General features: G+C 43.2%; 1 protein-coding gene across 13 annotated transcripts in view; it reads right to left on the bottom strand.

Moving 5' to 3' along the window:
* The window catches only part of PDSS2 (decaprenyl diphosphate synthase subunit 2), a 307,003-nt gene that overhangs the window by 26,230 nt on the left and 268,340 nt on the right, over nucleotides 1-12,433 (bottom strand). For 6 of the 13 annotated variants that reach the window (XM_011535960.4, XM_047419100.1, XM_011535958.4 and 3 more), the window contains one exon: nucleotides 10,901-11,098. The exons of the other annotated variants lie outside the window; for them this stretch is intronic. In XM_011535960.4, coding sequence (XP_011534262.1) covers nucleotides 10,901-11,098 — 198 coding nt within the window. The remainder of the gene's footprint in view (nucleotides 1-10,900; nucleotides 11,099-12,433) is intronic. 13 annotated transcript variants of the gene reach the window in all.

The raw sequence follows: 12,433 nt of genomic DNA on the forward strand, positions 1-12,433 counted from the left end.
GGGCGGATCACTTGAGGACAGGAGTTCGAGGCCAGCCTGGCCAACATAGTGAAACCCTGTCTCTTAAAAAAAACAAATAACAAAAGAGAATACACATTGTGAAGTCAGCAGACCTGAGTAGAATCTTGACCCTGTGAGATAATTGTGTGGACACTGTTAGGTTATTTGAGCTCTTCTCTATAAAAAGAGGGGATTCACAGAATTCGATAGAACCATTTGATTAAGGTGTTTAGTGTGTGTCTTAAACAGTGTACGCTGCAAAGCACGCATACAATGGCATGCATCTTAAAGAAAGTACAGCACATAGAAAGGTCTACCCATTTTTCTGACAGCTGCACACAAATCTTAGGAATCAATTAAAGATACAGGTTAGCATAATCTTCTTAGATCCAGGATAGGGAGATCTTCCACAGGGGGCACCATTGCGCTACACACTAATCAATCTTCAGAGGTACAGCTTTGGTTTTATTATGATTTAGTTAAGATCCTTCTTCTTCTTTTTTTTTTTAGATGGAGTTTCACATTGTTGCCCAGGCTGGAGTGCAGTGGTGTGATCTCAGCTCACTGCTGCCTCTGCCTCCCGGGTTCAAGCGATTCTCCTGCCTCTGCCTCCTGAATAGCTGGGATTATAGGTGCCCGCCATTACGCCTAGCTAATTATTGTATTTTTAGTAGAGACGGGGTTTCACCATGTTGGTCAGGCTGGTCTCAAACTCCTGGCCTCGTGATTCGCCCGCCTCGGCCTTCTTACAGGAGTGAGCCACAGCATCCGGCCTTAGCTAAGATCTTTCATCAAGCCAGAATGTCAAGGACTCGGGGGAAAAGGACAGAATCTACTCACCTACAATCTTTAGTAACATTTCACACTTCACTGAGCTATGCTGCAGGTCCCATGATCTCTACTGTTACCTAAGTAATTCTGTTTGAAAACTGAGGGACATAGCCACCTTGTTATTTCAGGAAAGATGGTTAAGTACATTATCAGGGATCAATACTCTGATGTGGTAAGTGGGGAGGCTGAGTAGTGCTTGGAGACACTGCATAGGAAATATAGAGGAATGGCTTCAGATGTACCAACTGAATCAACTACAGCTTTCTGATGGCTCAAACAGCTTCAAATCACAAAAATTCTTAATTCAACACAAAATCCGACAGCAGGATTAGTGTATGACTGTGGAAATATGAATCTAGGTAACGATATCTTCTAACTTACTAAAACTACGTTCAGTATCTATACAGAGGTGCCTCTCTTTTCACTCAAAAACCATAATTTTGGGAAACCCATGCCTCTCCACTATATTTTATGACAAGGAAAGAGATAGTGTTCCCTTCAGATCCACTTTAAAACAGTTTTAATGGACTAAACAGGCTTTTCTATAGGGACAGAGGGCTCTATCTTCGACATAAAGACATACAGGCTCTCCTGGTGCACAGGTGGCTTCTGACACCACAAACTGGGAGCAATAATTGAATCCAGCTATCCCACAGTGCAGAGCATCCACCCGCAGAGCCAGCCTGAAGGGCATTTCTAGTTAGCTTTCCAGATAAGACTCAAAAGATTACCCCAATTGAATCTCTCTGCCTCAACCCAGGGGGTGAGAGGCATTGAGGATGTAATCATTTGATTAAAAATATACTTGGGGGGATATAAGAGGAACAAAGGTGGAATTAAATATTCCTTATGAATTAGAAGAACAGAGGTTAGGCAAAAACGCGCAGTATCTTGGGTCATCATTCATTCATTCATTCGACAGTCAGTCAACAAATATTTATTGGGTACCTATCCTGCACCAGGTGCTGTAGTAGGCTTTCACGGTGCAATGGTGAGCAAACTCAAGACACCATTCCATGCTTACCGTCAAGAACTGGTCTTCATCAACGATCTAAGCCTGACTTAGCTTCCTGATAAATATTAGATATTATGTAGATATGTAATTTTTAGGGGTCAGTAATACAAAATGGTAAATTGAAGAGTGGGAGAGACTGCCCCACTAAATATTGTTATGAGCTAAATAATGTAAACTTTTACATATATCATTTTATTCATTTACTTTTTATTTATTTATGTATTTATATTTGGAGATGATGTCTCACTCTGTCTCCCAGGCTGGAATGCAGGGGCGCAATAACCGCAACCTCCATCTCCCGGATTCAAGCGATTCTCCTGCCTCAGCCTCCTCAGTAGCTGGGATTACAGGCATGCACCACCAAGCCCAGCTAACTTTTGTATTTTTAGTAGAGGTGGGGTTTCACCATGTTGGTCAGGCTGGGCTCGAACTCCTGACCTCAGGTAATCCACCCACCTTGGCCTCCCAAAGTGCTGGAATTATAGGTGTGAGCCACCACACCCAGCCACATATAATATTTTAAACCAAGCATCAATAAACTAGGAATATAGAATCTGAAGAAAAATAAAAGAGATTTATAACTGCCTATATTAAATTAGTATCAGTAGTACTTGGGGCCGGGCGCAGTGGCTCATGCCTGTAATCCCAGCATTTTGGGAGGCTGAGGCGGGTAATCACCTCCCAAAGGAGTTCAAGATCAGCCTAGCCAACATGGTGAAACCCCGTCTCTACTAAAAATACAAAATGTAGCCTGGCATGGCAGTGGGCGCCTGTAATCCCAGCTACTTGGGAGGCTGAGGTAGGAGAATTGCTTGAACCCAGGAGGTGGAGGTTGCAGTAATTTAAGATTGTGCCATTGCACTCCAGCCTTGGTGACAAGAGTGAATCTCTGTCTCAAAAAAAAAAGAAAAGAAAAGAAAAGAAAAAGAAATAAGAAAAAAAAAAGAAAGAAAAAAAGAAAATTATGGATGGTCGGGCACCGTGGCTCACACCTGTAATCCCAGCACTTTGGGAGGCTGAGGCCGGTGGATCACCTGAGGTCAGGAGTTTGAGATCAGCCTGGCCAACATGGTGAAACCCCATCTCTACTAAAAATACAAAAATTAGCCAGGCATGGTGGTGCACACCTGTAATCCAAGCTACTCAGGAGGCTGAGGCAGGAGAATCGCTTGAACCCAGGAGGTGGAGGCTGCAGTGAACCAAGATTGTGCCACTGCACTCCAGCCTGGGTGACAGAGCAAGACTCTGTCTCAAAAAAAAAAAAAAAAAAATTATTTGGGCTAACTGAGAGGGTGGCATGTTATATGATGTCATAAAGATGCTTATCATTAAAATCATTTAATAATTTTATTCATGATCCACAAAGGAATAGAGATTATGATAATTAAATCTGCTGATGCCACTGAGGTGTGTGGGATTGCTAACACCTCAGAGAACAAGAATCTAATTTTAAAATAACATTAAGAAATTAGAGGAACAGATAATCAAAGCAAGATGATAGTCACTGGGGACAAATACAAAATAACATACTGAAAGAGTTAAGGAGAAAAAAGACTAGCTTGATGATAGGAATGAATAATGTCGAGAGGGCAAATGTTTTGCAAAAGACCAAGGCTAATAATAAGGCACAACTCTGGTTTAAGATACTAACTATTGCATGTGTGTATAATTTATTTATTTTATTTATGTATTTATTTATTTATTTGAGACAGAGTCTCACTCTATTGCCTGGGCTGGAGTGCAGTGGCACAATCTCAGCTCACTGCAACCTCTGCCTCCTGGGTTCAGGCGATTCTCTTGCCTCAGCCTCCTGAGTAGCTGGGACTATAGGTACCCGCCACCACACCAGGCTAATTTTTGTATCTGTAGTAGAGACGGGGTTTTGCCATGTTGGCCAGGCTGGTCTCGAACTCCTGACCTCAAGTGGTCTGCCCACCTTGGTTTCCCAAAGTGCTGGGATTACAGGCATAAACCACCACACCCGGCCTATAATTTATTTTTGATATAATGTTTCACATGGTACAAAAGCTTCTATAATTTACTGTAAACAGAAACTGATCAGTGATTATTTTTCCATCATTAATAATTGCAATTTGAAGGAGATATGAAATCAAAGCAGTGGTTGCAAAAACTGACAAACTAATTGTTTTGAAAAACAGATTAAAGAGAATCTACTCACTATTGCTGCAAAGAAAAACAGGTGTCTGAAATGTAGTTGCCAAGAGAAAAATAACTGGTTTAATCTGGTTTTAAGGAAATGAGGAGTGGGGGATTTAAAATTTTTGGACAGGGGCTGGTCATGGTGGCTCACACCTGTAATCCCAGCACCTTGGGAGGCCAAGGTAGGAGGATCACTTGACCCCAGGAGTTTGAGACCAGCCCAGGTAATATAGTGATACCTCTTCTCTACAAAAAAATTAAAAAATTAGCTGGGTGTGGTGACATGCAACTGTAGTCTCTGCTACTTGCAAAGCTGAGGTGGGAGGATCACTTGAGCCCGGGAGGTCAATACTGCAGTGAGCCATAATCATGCCACTGCACTCCAGCCTGGGTGACAAGCAAGACTGTCTAAAAAAAAAAAAAAAAAGTTACATAGTTGCACCCATACCATTATGGTATTTTGATATGGATTTTTTTTTCTTTAAATTCTACTATAAACGTCTTATCTAATTATATTACAAGTCCCTTATGGAACAAGATAGGAGAGGGCAATGCCAATGGCTCCACAATCTCCATAGTTATCACTAAAATAGAAATCCTAAATGCTAAGACATCTTTGGCCAGGTGCGGTGGCTCATGCCTGTAATCTCAGTACTTTGGGAGGTCGAAGCGGATGGATCACCTGAGGTCAGGAGTTCGAGACCAGCCTAGCCAAAATGGTGAAACCCCATCTCTACTAAAAATATAAAAAATAGCCAGGCGTGGTGGCAGGCGCCTGTAATCCCAGCTACTCTGGAGGCTGAGGCAAGTGAATCACTTGAGCTGGGTGCAGTGGCTCACGCCTGTAATCTCAGCACTTTGGGAGGCCAAGGCAGGCAGATCACGAGGTCAGGAGTTGGAGACCAACCTGGCCAACATGGTGAAACCCCGTCTCTAAAAATGCAAAAATTAGCTGGGTGCAGTGGTGCACACCTGTAGTCGCAGCTACTTGGGAGGCTGAGGCAGGAGAATTGCTTGAACCCGGGAAGTGGAGGTTGCAGTGAGCTGAGATCACGCCACTGGATTCCAGCCTGGGCAACAGAGTGAGACTCCATCTCAAAAAAAAAAGAGAGAATCACTTGAACCTGGGAGGTGGAGGTTGCAGTGAGCCAAGATTCCACCACTGCACTCCAGCCTGGGCAACGAGAATTAAACTCTGTCTCAAAACAAAACAAAACAAAACAAAGCAAAGAAAAAATACATCTTTGCGGGGCTAGAGAAAATGAGAGATTTAGTGCATTCAGTGATGTTGTATGGCATATTTTACCAAAAAAGAGCTAATGTAAAGTCCCAGGGTAGGAGATGCAGCATCTGCCCAAGAAAGGGGTACAGGAAAGAGAAAACACAGCAACAACTGTTTTCTAAATGTGCCAATGTGAAAAAGTCTCAGAGCCAGTTTGCTAGGGTCATGGGAAGGAACTAGCAGCAAAAATTGACTACCAAAAATAAATAAATAAACGAATAAAGGAGTCTGGCTTTGTCAGTAAAAAAAGAACAATACTATATACAAAAAATTTCTATATTCAAGGCTCAAAAAAGAAAATTCTGGACTCAATATGCAGAAAAATGGCTGAAGCATCTATGTGTAATAAGAAGAAATGACTAAAAGGGCAAACCTTGGAAAGGAGAATCATGACATGAGAAGAAAGACTTTTTTCTTTTTAAAGGGAAGTAATGATATGTGATCATGCAAATGCAAATGTCTGTGGACATTACTGTTTGCTGGTGGGAAGAGAATTTTAATGTGTGCTCTATGCAAATGCATTTTATAATAAAACAAATGTGCAAGGACTTCTGGGGGTGAAGAGGACAGAGGAGAGCAGCAGCTGCTAAATGCTGATGTCTGAGAGGCATTGGAGGATAGAGCCAGAACGTGACACTCTGGAACCCTGAGCAAATTCTAGCAGGGAGGATGAGTCAAAAACCCTATCCTTATAAAAAATCTCTTACATTTGACAGAGAACTGGATGGCTAATGAATTAATATCTGGAAGATCTTTTTTTTTTTTTACCAAGTGCTTAAGCATGAGCAATTATTTCTCTGTGCTTAGAATGATCCTCATAAGAGGACATTTAAAAAACCAGCAAAAACCTCCCTTTTGTGTGTTGAGTCATGAGACAAATGATATGAAATGCACAATAAAGCCTAGAGAAAGACCAGTGCAGAGACAGTGCACCTGTAGTCGCAGCTACTTGGGAGGTGGAGATGGGAGGATCTCTTGAGCCCAGGAGTTCGAGGCTGTAGCCACTGCACTCTAGACTGGACAACATAGTGAGACCTTATATCTAAAAAAAAAAAAAAAAAAAAGAAGAAGAAGAAGGAGAAGGAGAAGGAGAAGAAGAAGAGAAGAAGAAAGACTAGAGATAAATATAATGCAAGCTATTATAAACTACTTAGTGTCTTTGTATCAAAATGAGCGCGAATGTCAAAGCTCATTTACGGCACAGTCCTAGGCACTGGTGAAAGAATGAACAGAAGGCAGGCTCTACAATGCTGAACAGTCTGGTTTTGACCAACTGATGGTTATTCATATCTATATATCTGAAGCAATTATTAAAAAGAAACTGGGAAAAAGTCTGTGTCTCTGTGACGGAGATATTTAAACAAGCCATTTTGAAAATGTTAAAAAATTAAAATTGTAGAAAGTCGAACCATAGGTGCCATGTTTTGCCTGAAGTGGTAAAAATACCATCTGCCTCAGTCTTTTTAGCAGCATGCTTATTTCAAGTAGCAGTAGGCTAAACTACAGGCATACGCTCAGCTCCAGCTGGGGAAAATACACAGACGTTTGTCGATGTTTTTCTAAGCAAGAGTAGTCAACATATTCGTTTTCTTTTAGATATATATATATTAGTTACCATGGCAAACCAAACGTGAATGTGGTCCGAGAGCCTTCTCCACCAGTCCCAACACATCTCCAAGAATTCCTACAATTCAATAGGTGGCACTCTTCCCTCTAGCACTGAGCTGAAGCGGCTCTGCCTAACCTTGAGGCCAGAAGCCTAAAGAGCTGGAACAGTCTGAGATGTGCACCTAGGGCTGCAGGACAGTCACTGGAATTAAGATCCCCACAGCATTGTGCACTGGAGCAAAAGTGTTAGCTTCCTGGTCACACTTCACTTCTGGTAATTACATTCCATCTAATACAACTTCTGCAGTTTTAACTAGGTAAGATATTCCTTGTTTTTCCATCTTAAAAGCGACTAAGGTAGGATTGCCTTACACAGTTAAACAGCTTCCATCTTTGCCCACTGCCCAGGTGAGTGAGTTTCAGCAATGAGGAGAGTGACTTCCAGTGCTGTGTTAACTACTTTAAGAGACAGGGAGAGATGTAATGAATTAATAGTTGTCAAGTGCTTTGATATCTTAGGATGAAAGGTACTACAGCAGTGTAAAGCATTCATATCCAGGCTCTATCACAACAGGAACTCAATTAAAAAGTAATTCAATTTCTAGCTGAGTGTCTGTGTACAGACCACTATTTTGCTGAATGAGACACACATGTTGAAGGTCCAGTTGAGAATGATTTTAAAATGATCACCTCTTCCACACTCTCCCCTACTACCTCACCATCTGAAACCGACAAAATTGAGTGATGGGCCATAAAGCCACAGAGTGCATGACTGAAATAATTATATAGTTTTTTTTTTACTCTTTATTATTTTAAGTTCTGGGATACATGTGCAGAACGTGCAGGTTTGTTACACAGGTATACATGTGCCATGGTGGTTTGTGCACCTATTGACCCGCTCTCTAAGTTCCCTCCTTTCGCGCCCCCCTACCCCCCAACAGGCCCTGGTGTGTGTTGTTCCCCTCCCTGTGTCCATGTGTTCTCATTGTTCAACTCCCACTTATGAGTGAGAACATGCGGTGTTTGGTTTTCTGTTCCTGTGTTAGTTTGCTGAGAATGATGGCTTCTAGCTTCATCCGTATCCCTGCAAAGGACATGATCTCATGCCTTTTTATGGCTGCACACTTTCTTGATATCTGACTTTTCAGACAAAATTTGGCTTTTGAGTTTACAAATACCTATCACTTGGAAATAAAGAAATTTCCAGCAATAAATGAATTTCACAATAGTCTCCTGAAATGGCTGCTGAGTTTTTCAAATACTATTTTACAAATAACTCCTACCAGGGGAACCCTAAGCCACTAAGTGTGATGCCTATATTAGCCTGAACATCATGACCACAAAAAGCAGAGCACACAAAGCAGGGAGGAGTAGACTTTAGGTCATGAGATGCATTGCCAAGAGTCCATAACATACTGCATAAGGCATAATACTGCAGACATCTCCCCAAGACTTAGTAGAGAAAGATATAATCTTTCTTCTCTATGTTACTTGGATTTAAGTCTGTTTAAGGCTGACAGGTCTGGATTAACTACCTAAATCGAGTTATGTCTTTAAATATCAGAATAGCACTACATATTCAAGGAGGGGTGGGTTTCTATTTACTGGCATGAGAAATACTATTACTGGGCACTTGAAAAGACAACCTTAGGCAACTTTGGGATGGAATGTATTACACAGTCAATATACTCTTAAGGCCCGGTGTGGTGGCTCACGCCTGTAATTCCAACACTTTGGGAGGCCGAGGTGGGCAGATCACCTGAGGTCGGGAGTTTGAGACCAGCCTGACCAACATGGAGAAACCCCATCTCTACTAAAAATACAAAAATTAGCTGGGTGTGGTGGCGCATGCCTATAATCCCAGCTACTCAGGAGGCTGAGGTAGGAGATTGCTTGAACCCAGGAGGCAGAGGTTGCAGTGAGCCGAGATTGTGCCATTGCACTCCAGCCTGGGCAACAAGAGTGAAACTCCATCTCAAAAAAAAAAAAAAACCTCTTAAAATGACTAATTTGAGTCTACGGTCCTCGATCCCAGACCTCTCCTAACCTCCTGTACGTCTCCTAACATAACACGAATGTAATACTCATGCACACATGTTTGTCAAGCACTCCTATGTAAGCCTGTGCTAGGGAGGGTGATGCAACCATGAGCAAGGCCACCGAAGCACCTGCCGTTAGATCTTTTACATGCTAGTGGAAGAAGAAATAAACATGCACTTAAATACAAACTGATAATTTTATGTTATGATAAATGTTAAGGAGAAAAAAACAGAGCAAAGGTGGAGTGGCTACTTTAGATAGGGAAGCTGGAGTCAAGGGAGCTTGTGATGGCAAACCCTGGCAGTCGTGTTCATGATGGTTGTCTTGGCACTAGCATAGTGCCTCCAATATATTAACATCAAATAAAGGCTGGGTGAGGTAGCTCATGCCTGGAATCCCAGCACTCTGGGAGGCTGAGGCGGGCAGATCGCTTTGAGTTCAGGAGTTCGAGACCAGCCTGAGCAATGTGGTAAAACCCCATCTCTACAAAAAATACAAAAATTAGCTGCGCATTGGTGGCTTGCACTTGTAGTTCCAGCTACTTGGGAGGCTGAGGCTGGAGAATCACTTGACCCCAGGAAGCGGAAGTTTCAGTGAGCTAAGGTTGTGCCACTGCACTCCAATTTGGGTGACAGAGTGAGACCCTGTCTCAAAAAAAAAAAAAATTTAAATTTAAAAATAAATAAATGTCGGTTGGGTGAAGGAGTGTGTCTGGACCTCAGGATAAGAATGTCTCCTCCCAGATTTAGAATGGGCCTAGGGAATAGAACAGCACTACTCTAAACTGCTCGTTCTGCACTGAGGAAACTAAGAAAAGACCAAAGAGATTAAGTGAACAATTTGGTTTGGATGTTTTATCCCCTCCAAATCTCATGTTGAAAAGTGGCCTCCATTGTTGGAGGTGGGCCTAGCGGGAGGTGTTTGGGTCAGGGGGTCTGATCCCTCATGAATGGCTTAGTGCCATGCCCTTGGTGACGAGTGAGTTCTCACTCAGTGAGCTCATGCATGATCTGGTTGTTTAAAAGTGTGTGGCACCTCCCCTCTCTTGCTAGGTGACATGCCCAATACCCTTTGCCATGTGCCATGATTCTAAGCTCACCAGAAGCCTAACCAGAAGTAGATGTCAGCACTATGCTTCTCGTATACCTGCAGAACCATAAGCCAATTAAACCTCTTTTCTTTTTCATTTTTTTTGAGACAGGGTCTCACTCTCACTCCCGTTGCCCAGGCTGGTGTACAGTGGCGTGATCACAACTCACTGCAGCCTCAACTTCCTGGGGTCAGGTGATCCTCTACCTCAGGCTCCTGAGTAGCCAGGACTATAGGTGTGCACCACCATACCTAGCTATTTTTTAATATTTTTAGCACGGAGTGCAGTGACACAATCTCAGCTGACTGCAACCTCTGCCTCTCAGGCTCAAGCAATCCTCCCACCTCAGCCTCCTGAGTAGCTGGGAGTATGAGTGTGCACCAACATATCTGGCTAATTTTTGTATTTTTTTTAGAGACAGGATTTTGCCATATTACCCAGGCTGGTCTCGAACTCCTGAGCTCAAGTGCTCCTGCCTTGGCTTCCCAAAGTGTTGGCCACTATACCCAGACATATATTTTTTTTCTTTTTATTTTTTTAGACAGAGTCTTGCTCTGTTGTCCAGGCTGGAATGCAAAGACATGACCTTGGCTCACTGCAACCTGTGCCACTGGGGTTCAAGCAATTCTCCTGCCTCAGCCTCCCGAGTAGCTAGGATTACAGGCACGTGCTACCACACCCGGCTAATTTTTGTGTTTTTAGTAGGGACGGGGTTTCACCATGTTGATCAGGCTGGTCTCAAACTCCTAACCTCAGGTGGTCCACCCCCATGGCCTCCCAAAGTGCTGCGATTACAGGTGTGAGCCACTGTGCCCGGCCCCAGCCAGGTATTTTTTATTGCACGGCAAGAAAAGACTAACACAGTGACTGTTACCAGATTTTGCATTGAGTTGGTGGCAGAGCCATTGCTTGGTCCAGGGGTGCTCTTATTTGTGCACCATATTTTTCTCTTTGCCATTTTCCAGTGGAAATCTCTTCCATTGTCAAGTGCTTCTGTGATAAGAAACCCCAGAGGCATTCTTTGAGTCATAAAAAAAGCATCACCAGTCTGGGTAACAGCGAGACCTCGTTCCTTAAAATTAAATAAATAAAGAAAGAAAGAAACAAATAAAAAAAAATAGCCGGGTGTGGTGACACATATCTGTAGTCCTAGTTACCTGGGAGTCTGAGGCAAGAGGATCATTTGAGCCCAGGAGTGGGAGGCTGCAGTAAGCTATGATTGTGACACTGCACTCCAGCCTGAGTGACAGAGTGAGACCCTATCTCTAAAAAAAAAAAACAAAAATAACCAAAATAAGCATCAATGTTCAATTGTCACTCTTTTCCCTTATCTTTTTATTCATATGTTAGCTTTCTGTCACTACCACAGTAAAAATCCCAGTCTTTATCTTCAAACTAGTTTACTACAACCTTCCTAAGCAATCTTCTTAACCCTGCTGATATCCTCAAACTGTGTCAAACGCTTTCCTTTCCTCTCTGCCTTGAGAACCAATGCCCTATCCCCCGATTTTCTCCTGCAGCAGGTTGCTTCTCCCCAACTTACTGCGTGTGTTTTCTATTTTCTTACTCATGGCCTCTGTTCACTCGCTTACTTGCTCATTCACTCGTCACTTACTAAGTGTCAAGTACTGTGTTGGGTACCAGATATACTAAGAGAAAAAAGAAACTGTCTCTGCCCTCCAAGAGCTCACAGTCTAGGATCAGTCTCATAAATGGATCATTATAATATAACAGAGTAAGAGCAGTGACTGAGAAATGCACAGTGTATTGAGGAACTGAGGAAAGCACCTAATCCAGCCTGGGAAACCACAGAGGATTTGCTATAGGAGACAATCCCAAATTAAGCTTCATAGGATGAGCAGAGGGAGCCAGATAAAGACGGCAGGACATTCTAAGCAGAGGGGACAGCATGAGTGAAGGCGCAGAGAACAGAAGCAGTATGCTTTATGAAACTTGGTGCTGCTGCAGGACCATGGGAGATGAAGCTGGAGGGTCTCTTTAGGGGAGAGATCACACAGCCCCGTATATGCCAACCCAGCAAGCTCCGAATGTGCCGGATAGACAACACAGAGCAATGAAGGGGTTTTTTTTTGAGACGGAGTCTTGCTCTGTCGCCCAGGCTGGAGTGCAGTGGCGTGATCTCGGCTCACTGCAAGCTCCGCCTCCTGGGTTCACACCATTCTCCTGCCTCAGCCTCCCAAGTAGCTGGGACTACAGGCGCCCGCCACCATGCCCAGCTAATTTTTTGTATTTTTAGTCGAGACGGGGTTTCACCGTGTTAGCCAGGATGGTCTCGATCTCCTGACTTCGTGATCCGCCCGCCTCCACCTCCCAAAGTGCTGGGATTACAGGTGTGAGCCACCGTGCCCGGCCTAGAGCAATGAAGGGTTTTAAGCTGGAGAGAGAA

This window comes from Homo sapiens, chromosome 6 (genome assembly GCF_000001405.40).
Source record: "Homo sapiens chromosome 6, GRCh38.p14 Primary Assembly".
Classification (NCBI taxonomy): domain Eukaryota; kingdom Metazoa; phylum Chordata; class Mammalia; order Primates; family Hominidae; genus Homo; species Homo sapiens.